This window comes from Homo sapiens, chromosome 2 (assembly GCF_000001405.40).
Source record: "Homo sapiens chromosome 2, GRCh38.p14 Primary Assembly".
Taxonomy (NCBI): domain Eukaryota; kingdom Metazoa; phylum Chordata; class Mammalia; order Primates; family Hominidae; genus Homo; species Homo sapiens.
Window position 1 is genome coordinate 191759445 of NC_000002.12, and position 19024 is coordinate 191778468.

The following is a 19024-nucleotide window of genomic DNA, read 5'->3' on the forward strand; positions in this document are numbered from 1 at the left end:
AGACACTATTTAAGTCAACAGACATATAGCAATGACACCACAGGGTTTTAAAAAAGTCCCTGTTATCCTAAAGCTAACTTTCCATTAGCTTATTGAAAATGATATTTTTCAATGTGAAGGAGCTAACTCACATTTGGAATGGGTGTTCCTTCTAGGAGTCCGTATCAAAATTATCATTTGTATTTTTTGCCCGATGGGAAGTTGTATTGTGAACTGTGCTATGGCTGATGTGTTTATCTGGCGTATTCTTCAGTTATTCCAACTAGTTTCTATGTCCTATTTTAGAATTTAATTAAAATTCATGTGGTTTCATTCTTCCCTTCTGACTCTGGAGGGCTCTGCAATATGCTTGTAATCCTTTCTAGGCCCACAGCAAGGAGGAAAACCTGTTTCTACTTGAAGTTGGGGTTCTGTGCTGAACTTGTTCTGTGTTGTCTCCCTCCTGGCAACGGTACGTAACTGTGAGATACTGATTTGCGCACAGTGCTGTCTGGCTTTGCTTCTAAAAGGAATAATGTGCATGGCTGGTCTCTGATTGATGTGTGGGAGCTGCCATTTGGGGGCATAAAACACTTTATTTTCCATCCTGCTTAGAATTCTAAGGCTCAATGGCCAACATCTGCCATCCTTCACTTTGAAATTTTTAAATTACCTTTTAAAAAATGATTATAACAGTAATATTATTTATTATTAAAAATTTAGCAAATATAAAAAGTGTAATGAAGAAAATAAAAATAACTCATAATCCAATGGCTCTGAGTTAACCATCATTAGCCTTCTATTTGCATATATTTTATAATACATGCAGTTTTAGACCCTGTTTATATTTTGTCCTCAGCAGTCTATTGTGAGAATAGTCTCAATATTATTAAAAATCTTTAAAGATCAAATTTTAATGGCTGCATAGTATTCAATCATATAGTTTTATCACAGTTTATTTAGCCAATACCTTGTTGTTGGATGTAGTTTCTAATTTATTTCTCTTTAAAAATACTGTGGGTAATAGTCATATGATATATTTTGAATCTCTAAGTAATTCCTTAGGAAAAATTTTGAGTAATAAAATTATGGGATTAAATGACATGAACTTTCTAAGGCTTTTGACACATGTCACCTAATGGTTTGGAAACTGTACTCTTGCATTCACATTTCAGAAAATGCATTCACATTTTAGAAAAATCTTCGGCAATTTATCAGGCAAAAGAAGTATCTCACTCTTGTTTTCTTTTCTAGTTGTTAGAATTCTAGTGAGATTGAACATGTATTTCATGGGTTTATTGGGCATTTATTTGTTTTTTTATTCTATGTGTTGTCTCTTTTTTTTCTATTGATGTGTGCCAGAAAGAATATGGGCTCTCAAAGATGTCCATAATCTTGTCCCTGAACATGTGAATATATTTGCTTACATGGCAAAATGGACTTTGCAGATGTGATTAAATTAAGGACCTTGAGATGAGGATATTATTCTGAATTATTTATGTGGAGTCGTTATTGGAGGGAGACAGGAGAGTTAGAGTCAGAGCAGGAGAGTTGACAAAGGAAGCTGAGGTCACAGGAGGGTGATCTGAAATATTACATTGCTGGCTTTGAAGATGGAAGAAGAGGCTGTAAGGCAGGAAAGGCAGGTGGCCCGCAGAAACTGGGAAAGGGAGGGAAAGGATTTTCTCCGAGAGCATGGAACAAGCTAGCCCTGTTGAAATCTTGACTTTAGCTCAGTGAGAATGCTTTCAGACTTCTGACGGCCAGGAATGTAAGAGAATAAATTTGTGTGGTGTAAGCCACTAAATTGGTGATAATTTGTTACAGCAGCAGTAGGAAAGAAAACACAGAATGTTCTTATTTTTTATTGATATGTGAATATTTTTATATGCAGTAGTCATTAACTTGTCATATATATTGCAAAATTTTTTTCAAGGTTGCCATTTGCTTTTAAATAATTTTATGGTGTTTTCTGATACAGAGTTTTGTTGTTAACTTTTAAAATATCCTTGATGTTATATTAGATAAGCTTTATTTCAGTGATATACAAATTTTAAATATTATGCAGTTAAATCTATGTATCTTTTCCTTGGTGACATATTCTATTGCTTTTAAATCAGTTTTATATTCACCAGTGTTACTTCCAACATTTTTATGGTATGTGATTTTTCATTTATCATTCTTCATTAAGTTTTTATATATTTTTAGTCCTATTTCAGGACTATCTAGTCTTTCCTATTAATCTGTCAAGGCCTGTGCTATTACCACATCATCTAAATTATTGTAGTTTCATAAAAGTTTTTATGTCTAGTAGCTAAATCCTTATTCATTACTCTTTTCTTTAATTTTTTAAAAGCTGGTCTCAATGTTTTATTTTTCTAGATGAATCTTAGAATCACTTAGACAAGTTGAAAAATTTTATTTGAGGGGGAGGAGCCAAGATGGCCGAATAGGAACAACTCCGGTCTACAGCTCCCAGCCTGAGCGACGCAGAAGACGGTGATTTCTGCATTTCCATCTGAGGTACAGGGTTCATCTCACTAGGGAGTGCCAGACAGTGGGCGCAGGCCAGTGAGTGCGCGCACCGTGCGCGAGCCGAAGCAGGGCGAGGCATTGCCTCACTTGGGAAGCGCGAGGGGTCAGGGAGTTCCCTTTCCGAGTCAAAGAAAGGGGTGACGGACGCACCTGGAAAATCGGGTCACTCCCACCCGAATACAGCGCTTTTCCGACGGGCTTAAAAAACGGCGCGCCACGAGATTATATCCCACACCTGGCTTGGAGGGTCCTATGCCCACGGAGTCTCGCTGATTGCTAGCACTGCAGTCTGAGATCAAACTGCAAGGTGGCAGCGAGGCTGGGGGAGGGGCACCCGCCATTGCCCAGGCTTGCTTAGGTAAACAAAGCAGCCAGGAAGCTCCAACTGGGCGCAGCCCACCACAGCTCAAGGAGGCCTGCCTGCCTCTGTAGGCTCCACCTCTGGGGGCAGGGCACAGACAAACAAAAAGACAGCAGTAACCTCTGCAGACTTAAATGTCCCTGTCTGACAGCTTTGAAGAGAGCAGTGGTTCTCCCAGCACGCAACTGGAGATCTGAGAACGGGCAGACTGCCTCCTCAAGTGGGTCCCTGACCCCTGACCCCCGAGCAGCCTAACTGGGAGGCACCCCCCAGCAGGGGCACACTGACACCTCACACTGCAGGGTATTCCAACAGACCTGCAGCTGAGGGTCCTGTCTGTTAGAAGGAAAACTAACAAACAGAAAGGACATCCACACCAAAAACCCATCTGTACATCACCATCATCAAAGACCAAAAGTAGATAAAACCACAAAGATGGGGAAAAAACAGAACAGAAAAACTGGAAACTCTAAAAACCAGAGCGCCTCTCCTCCTCCAAAGGAACGCAGTTCCTCACCAGCAACGGAACAAAGCTGGATGGAGAATGACTTTGAGGAGCTGAGAGAAGAAGGCTTCAGACGATCAAATTACTCTGAGCTACGGGAGGACATTCAAACCAAAGGCAAAGAAGTTGAAAACTTTGAAAAAAATTTAGAAGAATGTATAACTAGAATAACCAATACAGAGAAGTGCTTAAAGGAGCTGATGGAGCTGAAAACCAAGGCTCGAGAACTATGTGAAGAATGCAGAAGGCTCAGGAGCCGATGCGATCAACTGGAAGAAAGGGTATCGGCGATGGAAGATGAAATGAATGAAATGAAGCGAGAAGGGAAGTTTAGAGGAAAAAGAATAAAAAGAAATGAGCAAAGCCTCCAAGAAATATGGGACTATGTGAAAAGACCAAATCTACATCTGATTGGTGTACCTGAAAGTGATGGGGAGAATGGAACCAAGTTGGAAAACACTCTGCAGGATATTATCCAGGAGAACTTCCCCAATCTAGCAAGGCAGGCCAACGTTCAGATTCAGGAAATACAGAGAACGCCACAAAGATACTCCTCGAGAAGAGCAACTCCAAGACACATAATTGTCAGATTCACCGAAGTTGAAATGAAGGAAAAAATGTTAAGGGCAGCCAGAGAGAAAGGTCAGGTTACCCTCAAAGGGAAGCCCATCAGACTAACAGCGGATCTCTCGGCAGAAACCCTACAAGCCAGAAGAGAGTGGGGGCCAATATTCAACATTCTTAAAGAAAAGAATTTTCAACCCAGAATTTCATATCCAGCCAAACTAAGCTTCATAAGCGAAGGAGAAATAAAATACTTTACAGACAAGCAAATGCTGAGAGATTTTGTCACCACCAGGCCTGCCCTAAAAGAGCTCCTGAAGGAAGCACTAAACATGGAAAGGAACAACCGGTACCAGCCGCTGCAAAATCATGCCAAAATGTAAAGACCATCAAGACTAGGAAGAAACTGCATCAACTAAAGAGCAAAATAACCAGCTAACATCATAATGACAGGATCAAATTCACACATAACAATTTTAACTTTAAATGTAAATGGACTAAATGCTCCAATTAAAAGACACAGACTGGCAAATTGGATAAAGAGTCAAGACCCATCAGTGTGCTGTATTCAGGAAACCCATCTCATGTGCAGAGACACACATAGGCTCAAAATAAAAGGATGGAGGAAGATCTACCAAGCAAATGGAAAACAAAAAAAGGCAGGGGTTTCAATCCTAGTCTCTGATAAAACAGACTTTAAACCAACAAAGATCAAAAGAGACAAAGAAGGCCATTACATAATGGTAAAGGGATCAATTCAACAAGAAGAGCTAACTATCCTAAATATATATGCACCCAATACAGGAGCACCAAGATTCATAAAGCAAGTCCTGAGTGACCTACAAAGAGACTTAGACTCCCACACATTAATAATGGGAGACTTTAACACCCCACTGTCAACATTAGACAGATCAACGAGACAGAAAGTCAACAAGGATACCCAGGAATTGAACTCAGCTCTGCACCAAGTGGACCTAATAGACATCTACAGAACTCTCCACCCCAAATCAACAGAATATACATTTTTTCAGCACCGCACCACACCTATTCCAAAATTGACCACATACTTGGAAGTAAAGCTCTCCTCAGCAAATGTAAAAGAACAGAAATTATAACAAACTGTCTCTCAGACCACAGTGCAATCAAACTAGAACTCAGGATTAAGAATCTCACTCAAAACCGCTCAACTACATGGAAACTGAACAACCTGCTCCTGAATGACTACTGGGTACATAACAAAATGAAGGCAGAAATAAAGATGTTCTTTGAAACCAACGAGAACAAAGACACCACATACCAGAATCTCTGGGATGCATTCAAAGCAGTGTGTAGAGGGAAATTTATAGCACTAAATGCCCACAAGAGAAAGCAGGAAAGATCCAAAATTGACACCCTAACATCACAATTAAAAGAACTAGAAAAGCAAGAGCAAACACATTCAAAAGCTAGCAGAAGGCAAGAAATAACTAAAATCAGAGCAGAACTGAAGGAAATAGAGACACAAAAAACCCTTCAAAAAATTAATGAATCCAGGAGCTGGTTTTTTGAAAGGATCAACAAGATTGATAGACCGCTAGCAAGACTAATAAAGAAAAAAAGAGAGAAGAATTGAATAGACGCTATAAAAAATGATAAAGGGGATATCACCACCGATCCCACAGAAATACAAACTACCATCAGAGAATACTACAAACGCCTCTACGCAAATAAACTAGAAAATCTAGAAGAAATGGATAAATTCCTCAACACATACACTCTCCCAAGACTAAACCAGGAAGAAGTTGAATCTCTGAATAGACCAATAACAAGATCTGAAATTGTGGCAATAATCAATAGCTTACCAACCAAAAAGAGTCCAGGACCAGATGTATTCACAGCTGAATTCTACCAGAGGTACAAGGAGGAACTGGTACCATTCCTTCTGAAACTATTCCAATCAATAGAAAAAGAGGGAATCCTCCCTAACTCATTTTATGAGGCCAGCATCATTCTGATACCAAAGCCAGGCAGAGACACAACAAAAAAAGAGAATTTTAGACCAATATCCTTGATGAACATTGATGCAAAAATCCTCAATAAAATACTGGCAAACCGAATCCAGCAGCACATCAAAAAGCTTATCCACCATGATCAAGTGGGCTTCATCCCTGGGATGCAAGGCTGGTTCAATATACACAAATCAATAAATGTAATCCAGCATATAAACAGAGCCAAAGACAAAAACCACATGATTATCTCAATAGATGCAGAAAAAGCCTTTGACAAAATTCAACAACCCTTCATGATAAAAACTCTCAATAAATTAGGTATTGATGGGACATATCTCAAAATAATAAGAGCTATCTATGACAAACCCACAGCCAATATCATACTGAATGGGCAAAAACTGGAAACATTCCCTTTGAAAACTGGCACAAGACAGGGATGCCCTCTCTCACCACTCCTATTCAACATAGTGTTGGAAATGCTGGCCAGGGCAATTAGGCAGGAGAAGGAAATAAAGGGTATTCAATTAGGAAAAGAGGAAGTCAAATTGTCCCTGTTTGCAGACGACATGATTGTATATCTAGAAAACCCCATTGTCTCAGCCCAAAATCTCCTTAAGCTGATAAGCAACTTCAGCAAAATCTCAGGACACAAAATCAATGTACAAAAATCACAAGCATTCTTATACACCAACAACAGACAAACAGAGAGCCAAATCATGAGTGAACCCCCATTCACAATTGCTTCAAAGAGAATAAAATACCTAGGAATCCAACTTACAAGGGATGTGAAGGACCTCTGCAAGGAGAACTACAAACCACTGCTCAAGGAAATAAAAGAGGATACAAACAAATGGAAGAACATTCCATGCTCATAGGTAGGAAGAATCAATATCGTGAAAACGGCCATACTGCCCAAGGTAATTTACAGATTCAATGCTATCCCCATCAAGCTACCAATGCCTTTCTTCACAGAATTGGAAAAAACTACTTTAAAGTTCATATGGAACCAAAAAAGAGCCCGCATCGCCAAGTCAATCCTAAGCCAAAAGAACAAAGCTGGAGGCATCACACTACCTGACTTCAAACTATACTACAAGGCTACAGTAACCAAAACAGCATGGTACTGGTACCAAAACAGAGATATAGATCAATGGAACAGAACAGAGCCCTCAGAAATAATGCTGCATATCTACAACAATCTGATCTTTGACAAACCTGAGAAAAACAAGCAATGGGGAAAGGATTCCCTATTTAATAAATGGTGCTGGGAAAACTGGCTAGCCATATGTAGAAAGCTGAAACTGGATCCCTTCCTTACACCTTATACAAAAACCAATTCAAGATGGATTAAAGACTTAAATGTTAGACCTAAAACCATAAAAACCCTAGAAGAAAACCTAGGCATTACCTTTCAGGACATAGGCATGGGAAAGGACTTCATGTCTAAAACACCAAAAGCAATGGCAACAAGCCAAAATTGACAAATGGGATCTAATTAAACTAAAGAGCTTCTGCACAGCAAAAGAAACTACCATCAGAGTGAACAGGCAACCTACAAAATGGGAGAAAATTTTTGCAACCTACTCATCTGACAAAGGGCTAATATCCAGAATCTACAATGAACTCAAACAAATTTACAAGAAAAAAACAAACAACCCCATCAAAAAGTGGGCGAAGGACATGAACAGACACTTCTCAAAAGAAGACATTTATGCAGCCAAAAAACACATGAAAAAATGCTCATCTTCACTGGCCATCAGAAAAATGCAAATCAAAACCACAATGAGATACCATCTCACACCAGTTAGAATGGCAATCATTAAAAAGTCAGGAAACAACAGGTGCTGGAGAGGATGTGGAGAAATAGGAACACTTTTACACTGTTGGTGGGACTGTAAACTAGTTCAACCATTGTGGAAGTCAGTGTGGTGATTCCTCAGGGATCTAGAACTAGAAATACCATTTGACCTAGGGATCCCATTACTGGGTATATACCCAAAGGACTATAAATCATTCTGCTATAAAGACACATGCACACGTATGTTTATTGTGGCATTATTCACAATAGCAAAGACTTGGAACCAACCCAAATGTCCAACAATGATAGACTGGATTAAGAAAATGTGGCACATATACACCATGGAATACTATGCAGCCATAAAAAATGATGAGTTCATGTCCTTTGTAGGGACATGGATGAAGTTGGAAATCATCATTCTCAGTAAACTATTGCAAGAACAAAAAACCAAACACCGCATATTCTCGCTCATAGGTGGGGATTGAACAATGAGATCACATGGACACAGGAAGGGGAATATCACACTCTGGGGACTGTTGTGGGGTGGGGGGAGGGGGGAGGGATAGCACTGGGAGATATACCTAATGCTAGATGACGAGTTAGTGGGTGCAGTGCACCAGCATGGCACATGTATACATATGTAACTAACCCGCACATTGTGCACATGTACCCTAAAATTTAAAGTATAATTAAAAAAAAAAATGTGAAAAGAAAAGGCAAAAAAAAAAAAAGAAAAATTTTATTTGAATTTTAAATTTGCAATAAATCTATAAATTAATTTGCAATGAATCTATAAATTAATATCAGCTCTTACCAGGGAAGAACATGGTGTTTTTCCATTTATAAAAATTAAAGAAATATATTTCTATAAAGTTTGATCATTTCATTGATGTAATCTCAGATGTTATTCAATAAGATCAGTTTTGGGCATTTTAGATGTTGTGTTGCTATTGGGATTAGAATGTTTTCTTCATAGTACTTATTAACTAATTTTGGCTAATATATTGGAAGGCTTTCGACTTTTGTAAACATGTCTTGTGCTTTACTGAACTTTGCTATTTATGTTTTCAGTATTTTTTTGATATATAAGTATATCACATGCAAATGGTGGTGGTTTCATTTTCTACATCCTAAAGTTTACCCTTTCTTTTGATTTCAAAATTTTAAAGTACTGACTAGACCTTCCAGAACCATGTTGAATGTTAACAGTAAAACAATGTGTCTTCATCGTATTTATCAGTATAGTGCTGGCTATTGTAAGATTGGCCTTATTTTTCATTTTAAGGAATTATTCTCTTCCTAGTTTAAAGCATGGATTGAAATTATTTGAGTCTTCATTTTTTTTTTCCAGTTGGATCTGTGGAACTAATATATGAATTATTTTCTGAATGATAAACTCAATTTATATTTCTATGATAAACTTAACTTTGATTATTGGACATTCTTTGCAATACAGTATAGAATCTAGTAGGTTTGTTTTTTTAAAAAAATTAGGATTATTGAATCTATATTTACAAATAAAACAAAACTATAGTTTTAATATTTTTTTCCATCAGATTTTCTTATGGAACAGTGTTTAGCTACTTAAAATATACTGGGTGCTTTACAGTTTTTTTCTGTTTCCTGGAGCTTACATTGGATGAGGATTTGAAAGAACTCACCCATAAAACTAGCTGCTTTGGACCATTTTCAGAAGTTACGTTTTTTTGAAGTTATTCAATTTTTTAATGATTTCTTCTAAATAGATTTCCTTTAAGTCATTTGTTTATTTATTTATTTATTTTACAATATTATCATTTCATTGAGATCTAGATAAATGAGGCTTCCAAAGAAAGATTATAGTGGTTATGTTTTCAATTTTCCTAAGATGGAACATAACTGCTACAATTCTAGAGGCAGAGGAGAGAAGTTGAACTGGTTGAAAAGGGCTGGTATTGAGGTAAACATAACACTTTCTTTTCTTTTCTTTTTTTTTTTTTAACTTTTAAGTTCAGGGGTACATGCGCAGGATGTGCAGATTTGTTACATAGGTAAACGTGTCATGAGGGTTTGTTGTACAGATTATTTCATCACCCAGGTATTAAGCTTAGTATTTATTAGTTGCTTTTCCTAATCCTCTGCATCTTCCCACCCTCCACCCTCTGGTAGGCCCCAGTACATGTTGTTCCCCTCTATGTGTCCCTGTGTTCTCGTTATTTAGCTTCCACTTATAAGTGAGAATATGCGGTATTTGGTTTCTGTTCTCGCATTGGTTTGCTAAGAATAATGGCCTCTAGCTCCATCCATGTTCCTGCAAAGGACATGAGCTCATTCTTTTTTATGGCTGCATAGTATTCCATGGTGTATATGTACCACACTTTCTTTATCCAGTGTACCATTAGTAGGCATTTAGGTTGCCTAAATGGTATGCCTAATAAGCATGCATGTGTCTTTATTATAGAATGATGTATATTCCTTTGGGTATATACCCAGTAATGGGACTGCTGGGTCAAATGGTAATTTTGTCCTTAGGCCTTTGAGGAATTGTCACACTAATTTATACTCCCACCAACAGTGTATAAGCTTTCCTTTTTCTCTGCAACCTCGCCAGACTCTGTTAGTTTTTGACTTTTTAATAATAGCTATTCTGACTGGTGTGGGATGATATCTCATTGTGGTTTTGATTTGCATTTCTCTAATGATCAGTGATGCTGAACTTTTTTTTATATGATTTTTGGCCACATAAATAATACTTTCAAATAATTGTAAGACTCACCTTATCAATTTTTATATTCTCTATGCTTTTTACATTTACTTACATGTGGTCTAAATTTCTAAAATTATGTTTGTTACATTTTTTTCCCCAATGAATCAGCTCTTGGATTTAATTTATAATTTTAATATGATTCTGTTTACTAATTTGGTTATATTTGCTTTTATTATTTCCTTTATACTAGATGAGTTTTTTTGTTGCATACTTTCTAATGGCTTGATTTTAGTATTTAACTAATTTCAAACAATAATAGGAGCACTCTGAGTTGAGTTGAATGCTTAAGGTAAAGGATGGGGGCAGGGGTAGATAAAGATACCAGCTTGGAAGGCTGGTATATATAGGACCAAGGAGGGCCATGCATGCAAAAACAGAAGCTTTATTTTGAAAAGCCTCTGTTTTTGTAGGAATCGCTGAATGTTAGTGGTTGTACAGCTAGAATAAGTTATATACTGTATGAACAATTTTACCCTAGAGGGTGCCCAGAGTCCACTTGCTTGTAAAGACAATCTGTGCTGATTAACCCAGTCTTTGATCATAAAGTATTTGTAGAAGAGTTGCTTCAAGTGTTATGAATGGGGCATCATCCTAGGGGCAACCCAGAACATGCAAGAGGAGCTGAGAAACTTTGAGCATTTGGTGACAAAAGCCAACTAAGTATGTAGTAGCCATTCAAAGAATAAATATAGTAGAATTTGGGATAAGCAGAAAAAGCTTTCTGGAGGCAGAATTTGAGATGAGTCTGAAAGGAGGTAGAAGAGCTCAGTAATACATGCAAAAGATTTGGAGGGCAGTGTAGAGACAGTCTAAGAGATGGGAGTGTACATTGCGGATGATTAGAGAATGAGTTGAGCATAGCCGAAGCATATTAAGTTTATGGAGAACCTAAAAGTCAGTAGAGTTGGCACTGTAGTGGTAGTGCAGTCAATGGTAGGGAACCATTGAAGGTTCTTGAATGGGGAGTGACCCAATGAAAGATTCTTTTCACATGCTTTGTATTCAGGCTGGACTGGAGTGGGGAGACCTGACCTTGAAAATCAGTTCATGCGTAAAGTAGTAAGGGTATGACCCTAGTGACCATTGGGATACAAATGAAAGGGTGATTCTGAGAGGTGGCAGATGGAAAATCAGAGAACCATGGGGGAAGATTAGGCATCTCTCAATTTTGATTCTTAAATACTTAAAATCAAATGGTTGTAAAAGGGTTCTATTTAAGATGAAATACAGTGTATTGAATTTTTAGCCTCTTGAGTTTGAGGTTGTGGCTGGACATCCACTTGGGATGCCTGGAGCTGGCTGGAAATGTGAAACTAATGTGCATAGGAATAGGGGCGAAAGAGTTGGGTTTGACTGGAACCAGGACTTGGATGAGTCCATCAAAAGGATAAATGCAAATGAAGAAGAACAGAGGACACGGTCTTATGGAGATAAAACACACTTTTGGAGATGCTGGAGATTAAATTTAATATGTATAAGCTACAATGAGGGTGGGAGATATTACATGGGAATTGAGTCCAGTAGATGTAAAATAACACGTTGGGTTAGTTGTACAGCAAAAGGAGAGACGTGCTGCTTGAAAGAAAGTAAAAAGGATTAAGTAAACAATAAAAACATTAATGATAACAATCATAATGATAGAAAAGGTTTTATTTAGTACAAACATCAGGTTGTATTTGAAGATATGCAAAGAAAGGCAGAAAGAAGTTATACAGAGAAAGAGATTGAAGTGCAGGAGTAAATTTTAGTCTTTCTCTGAAATATATGATCCATACTAAACTGAATACATTAATCAAATTGAACAAACTGAACTTGGTAGAAGTTAGGATAAAAAACTGGAATTAGTCTCATCTCAGAATATAGTATGTTCAAGGTGGTTATAAAGGCCTATTCAATATTAGTTAGCATGTAATATCCAAAAGCAAAGGAGTTGGCTACTGATGACAAATATGGACCAAGATGACTTTAAGAAGTTGTAGGATGGTTAAAATCCAGGGTTAATCTCTTCTAAAGAATAAGGACAGTTTTGTCAATATTACTGACTGGTTGGCCCTTCAATAAATGAAATCTGCGTGTCTTTGAAGTTTTTAAATCAAAGTGACTTTGATATAAGTTTCTTTGGAATAATTGAAAAAATAATGGCTTTTTAAATTTTTTTTCTCTTGAGTTGTTACTTGGAATTTGCGTACTTCTTTCAGAGCAATAAAATTTAATCTAAAGTTCAAGGTAGCTATTTATATTTTATTAAACCCTTAAGTTTAAGATAATATTTCTTGGAGTGGTGATTTATATATAGCTGAAAATTTTATAGGGAAGAATCAGTTACATAGGCCGTTTTTTCTTTTTTAGTGTGGTGGTGGGGGTGGGGGGAGGTTAGAAAGCCCTGGGAGAAACAAAGTAGAAAGACATTTTTGTTTCTAATCAGAGAAAAGAATAATAAAAATATAGGTGTCAAGGTGTGATTTCAAAAACCTTGCCCTTGCTTATGCTAAGGAGGAGGGTGAGGAGCTGGAGGACTGAAATTAGACATAGGGTGAGGGTGCTTGGAAATCAGGTTACCTAGGAGGACACCAGTGTGAAGATCAGCGTGTGAAGATGCCTAAATGAGAACAAAGAAAGACTGACAAGGAAGACAGAGAAGGACCCAAGAAGAGTCTGTAGGAATCCCCTGAACTGGTCTAATAGGGTTCTTTTGTGCAGAGCCATCTCTGAAGGCCCAAGGCCTTCACAGTTACTCTCTACATCAGGGGTTACCAACCCCCAGGTCACAGACTGGTACTGGTCTGTGGCCTGTTAGGAACCAGGCCACACAGCAGGAGGTGAGCAGCCTGCAAGCAAGAGCATTACCACCTGAGCTCCGCCCCTGTCAGATCAGCAGCTACATAGGAGCGTAAACTCTATTGTGAATAGTGCATGTGAGGGATCTAAGTTGCCCACTTTTTATGAGAATCTAATGCCTGATGTTCTGAGGTGGAGCAGTTTCATCTGGAAACCATCCTCCCCAATAGCTGCTTCCTCCATGTCCCCCACTCCTCTGTGGAAAAATTGTCTTCCACAAAACTGGTCCCTGGTGCCAAAAAGGTTGGGGACCATTACTCTGCAGTGTTAAAGACCTACCATATGGAAGCCATCATCTGAGTAGCATAATATACTCCCTATAGTTGCCAAAGGAACAGTCTTTCTTCAAGTAGAAATGTAGTTTCTCTTAAACACAGCATAATATTCTTTCTCTAGAAATCTTTCTTATTAGGCTCAATTTTGCTCTCTGATATGGTTTGGCTGTGTCCACACCCAAATCTCATCTTGAATTTCCACGTGTTGTGGAAGGGACCCGGTGGGTTGTAACTGAATCATGGGGCAGGTCTTTCCTGTGCTGTTCTTGTGATAGTGAGTAAGTCTCACAATATTTGGTGGTTATAATAAGGGGAAGTTTTCCTGCACAAGCTCTCTTTGCCTGCTGAAATCCACGTAAGATGTGACTTGTTCCTCCTTGCCTTCTGCCACGATTGCAAGGCCTCCTCAGTCATATGGAACTGTAAGTCCAATTAAACCTTTTTCTTTTGTAAATTGCACAGTCTTGGGTATGTCTTTATCAGGAGCATGAAAATGGACTAATACAGTAAATTGGCATGAGTAGAGTGGTGTGCTGCTGAAAAGACACCTGAAAATGTGGAAGCGATTTTGGAACTGGGTAACAGGCAGGGGTTGGAAGAGTTTGGAAGGCTTAGAAGAAGAGAGAAAAATGTGGGAAAGTTTGGAACTTCCTAGAGACTTGTTAAATGTCTTTGACCAAAAGCCTGATAGCAATATGGACAATAAAGTCCAGGCTGAGGTTGTCTCAGATGGAGATGAGGAACTTGTTGGGAACTGGAGCAAAGGTGACTCTTGTTATGTTTTAGCAAAGACACTGGCAGCATTTTGCCCCTGCCCTAGAGATTTGTGGAACTTTGAACTTGAGAGAGATAATTTAGGGTATCTGGCAGAAGAAATTTCTAAGCAGCAAAGCATTCAAGAGGTGACCTGGGTGCTCTTAAAGGCATTCAGTTTTATAAGGGAATCAGAGCATAAAAGTTCAGAAAATTTGTAGCCTGACAATATGATAGAAAAGAAAAACCCATTTTCTCAGGAGAAATTCAAGCTGGCTGCAGAAATTTGCATAAGTAACAAGAAGCCAAATGTTAATTGCCAAGACAATGGAGAAAATGTTTCCAGGGCATGTCAGAGGTCTTCATGGCAGCCTCTCCCATCACAGGTCCAGGGGCCTAGGAGAAAATGGTTTCATGGGCCCTGCCTAGGGTCCCCGTGCTGTGTGCAGTCTAGGGACTTGGTACTGTGTGTCTTAGCCACTCCAGCCATGACTAAAAGGGGCCAAGGTACAGCTTGGGCTGTTACTTCAGAGGTAGAAGCCCTAAACCTTGGCAGCTTCCATGTGGTGTTGAGCCTGCTGGTGCACAGAAGCCAAGAATGGAGGTTTGGGAACCTCCGCCTAGATTTCAGAAGATGTACGGAAATGCCTGGATTCCCAGGCAAAAGTTTGCTGCAGGGGTGGGGCCCTTATGGAGAACCTCTGCTAGGGCAGTGCAGAAGGGAAATGTGGGGTTGGAGCCCCCATGCAGGGTTCCTACTGAGGTGCTGCCTAATGGAACTGTGAGAAGAGGGCCACTGTCCTCCAGACCCCAGAATGGTAGATCCACTGACAGGTTGCACCATGTGCCTGAAAAGCTGCAGACACTCAATGCCAGCCCATGAAAGCAGCTGGGAGGGAGGATGTGCCCTGCAAACCCCCAGGGATGGAGCTGCCCAAGACCATGGGAACCAACCTCTAGGATCAGTGTGACCTGGATGTGAGACATGGAGTCAAAGATCATTTTGGAGCTTTAAGATTTGACAGCCCCGGTGGATTTTGGACTTGCATGGGGTCTGTAACCTCTTTGTTTTGGCCAGTGTTTCCCATTTGGAATGGCTGTATTTTATGCAATGCCTGTACCCCCATTATATCTAGAAAGTAACTAACTTGCTTTTGATGTTACAGGCTTATAGGCGGAAGGTACTTGCCTTGTCTCAGATGAGACTTTGGACTGTGGACTTCTGAGTTAATGCTGAAATGAGTTAAGACTTTGGGGGATTGTTGGGAAGGCATAACTGGTTTTGAAATGTGAGGACATGAGATTTGGGAGGGGCCAGGTGTGGAACGATATGGTTTGGCTCTGTCCCCACCCAAATCTCATCCTGAATTCCCATGTCTTGTGAGAGAGGCCTGGTGGGAGGTAATGGAATCATGGGGGCAGGTCTTTCCCATGATGTTCTCATGATAGTGAGTAAGTCGCATGAGATCTGATGGTTATTATAAGGAGGAGTTTTCCTGCACAAGCTCTCTTTGCCTGCTGCCATCCACAGAAGATGTGACTTGCTCCTCCTTGCCTTCTGCCATGATTGTGAGGCTTCTCCAGCCACGTGGAACTGTGAGTTCTCCATTAAACCTTTTTCTTTTGTAAGTTGCCCAGTCTCAGTATGTCTTTATCAGTAATGAGAAAATGGACTAATACACTCTCCAATCTGGAAATAGTCCTTACAGAAAAGAGTGATTTCATTGCACCTGTCCAGATTCATTTTTTTTCTTTTTCTCAAAGGAGCCCAAATTAAAACACAAGAGCCTGTCTCGATGCAGACTGATTCTCTCTGTGCTGCTGGAAGTCATTTAGAATAAGACTATGAGGAAACTTGGGGGCATATATGCTATGCTGCTGCTCCGTTTGTGGGATGTTCTCAAGTGAGCCAAGGTTCACGGTTCACTGCCGATGTAGTTCCCAAGGGTCATGTAGCAGAAGAGAAAGATGTTTTCTGTCATCTTTGAAATTTTGCAGGAACTTTCTTCTATGGGTTTAGCAAATCCATTATCTTGATTGTGAAAAGACCTAGGCTTGCTTTAGGTAAATTAGATATTTTGGAAAAATTATAGAACAAACTGGAGAAGAAGGACAGTGAAATGGTTAGGGTGTGGAATCTGGAGTCAGACTAACTGGATTCACCTCCCAGAGCTACCACTAACCAGTTGGGTGACCTTGGACAAGGGCTGAACCTTTCTGTACCTCATTTCCTCATCCATTAAGTGGAGATGATGATAATGTGATAGTATCTATCCCATAATGTAATACATGATATTACTAAAATAATAATAAAATAGTAATAATATTTATAATTTTTTGGCTGATTAAATGAATTGGTATATGTTCAAAAATCAACTCAAGATGGATCAAAGACTTAAATGTAAAACCTAAAACTATAAAAACTCCAGAAGACAACCTAGGCAATACCATTCTGGACATAGGAATGGGCAAAGATTTCATGTCAAAGACACTAAAAGCAATTGTAACTAAAGCAAAAATTGGCAAATGAGATCCAATTAAAGGGCTTCTTCACAGCAAAATAAACTATCAACAGAGCAAACAGACAACCTACAGAATGGGAGAAAATTTTTGCAAACTATGCATCTGACAAAGGTCTAATATCCAGCATCTATAAGGAACTTAAATCTACAAGAAAACCTCAAACAACCCCATTAAAAAGTGGACAAAGGAAATGCACAGACAATTTTCAAAAGAAGAGATAAAAGAAGAGATATGTGGCCAACAAGTGTATAAAAAAAAGCTCAACATAATTGATCATTAGAGAAATGAAAATCAAAACCACAATGAGATACCATCTTACACTGGTCAGAATGGCTATTATTAAAAAGTCAAAAAACAACAGATGCTGGCAAGGTTGCAGAGAAAAAGGAATGCGTATACACTGTTAGTGGAATGTAAATGGGTTCAACATTGTGGAAGACAGTGCGGCAATTCCTCAAAGTCCTAAAGACAGAATTACCCAAGGGAATATAAATCATTCTATTATAAAGACACATGCATATGCATGTTCATTGCAGCACTATTCACAATAGCAAAGACATGGAATCAACATAAATGCCCATTAATGGTAGACTGGATAAAGAAAGTGTGATACATATACACCACGGAATACTATGCAGCTATAAAAAAATTGAACTCATGTCCTTTGCAGGAATATTGATGGAGTTAGAGGCCATTATCCCTAGCAAACTAATGCAGTAAACAGAAAACCAAATACTGCATGTTCTCACTTACAAGTGGGAGCTAAATAATGAGAATACATGAACACAGAAGATGGAGGATGGGAGGAGGGAGAGAATTAGGAAGAATGAATAGGGGGTACTAGTCTTAATACCTGGGTGACAACAAACTCCCATGACATGAATTTACCTATAAAACAAACCTGCACATGCTGAACTTAAAATAAAAGTTAAAAAATAAGTGAATTGGTATATATAAAGAAGAACTTTGAACTGTGCCCGATGCATACAGAGCACTTTATAATTTAGTTGTTGTTATTATTAAATATTAAATTCAAAAGCATCAGAGACTGATTCCATACTTGCTGTTTTCTGTAACTTGTGGTTTACATGAGGTCAACATTGTCTTATAAAGTATTCCTCATTCCCCTAATATTTCCCATGTTTCTGTAGAAACCTAATTTTACTTTTTCTATTTGAAAATGACAACAATGTTGTTTACTTGCCATCTGGATATTGTGTTCCACATTTTTGTTCTTGTGCCAAGATAGAAATGAAGATCTTTGACTAACTACTTCAATATAGCTCAATTGATTTAGTCAGTAAGTTGCTCCTGGCAACATTCACGCAGGCGACTCTGCAAGTTGTTGTTGTTGTTGTTTATTGGCATTTCTGAGAGTCACTTCCTAATTTTTTAAAAAAGAATTTCCTTATTGGAGTTGGGACACAAAACTCATTGGCTTCTAAGGCACTAAAAATTATGAATAAGGTTACTAAAGTCAGTGATAGAAAAATCTGAAGGAAATTGTTTATTTTCTCTGCCTTTCAAAAAACTGGTGATGCTTGAACATCATGACCATGAGTTTAGGTACCTTTTTCATTTCTCATAGGCTTATGTCTCTAGGAGTAGAATTTATCCATCCGTTCAATGTATTTATTATGAAATCTTTACTGAACGTCTACTCTGAGTAAGGCAAACCACTGTCCTAGATGCTAGCAATACAAAGATAAATGAGACAAATGGTTAAACATTTTGAGGTGGGAATAAAATGCTATATGCATAATTAAAATGTATGACATAATTTACCAAATGGTACATCAAAAAGATAAGAGGAGTGCCATAAAGGTTTAGAGGAGGGAGGCAGTGAGACTAGTTTAAAGAGTTAGCAAAATTTTCATGAATTAAATGATATTTAAGTTAAGTCTTGAAGGACTGGAAGAATTTAGACAATGAGAGAAATTGGCAAAGGGAAGTTTTGGCTAACAGAGTAGCATGAGTAAATAAACATAGAGAGATGGGAAATAGTAGGGAAATTTTTAGGGAAAAAACCTATTATTCAGTTTGGTGAACAAGGTGTAGGGTGCAAACTTTAAACAATGAGCATCTATTATATGCCTGGGGCTGCTCTAGGCTCTGGAGATACAGAGCCGAACAAGCAGACTAGGCACCCAAGCCTAGCA

The 19024-nt window shown here is 38.6% G+C and overlaps 1 annotated feature.

Annotated features, from left to right (window-relative positions):
- Window positions 2063–2656: an enhancer, noted in NCBI's record as "H3K27ac-H3K4me1 hESC enhancer chr2:192626233-192626826 (GRCh37/hg19 assembly coordinates)". NCBI's record gives its function as "activates a minimal SCP1, AML or CMV promoter by ChIP-STARR-seq in naive H9 embryonic stem cells {active_cell/tissue: H9 hESC(naive)}" and the evidence as "EXISTENCE:reporter gene assay evidence [ECO:0000049][PMID:30033119]".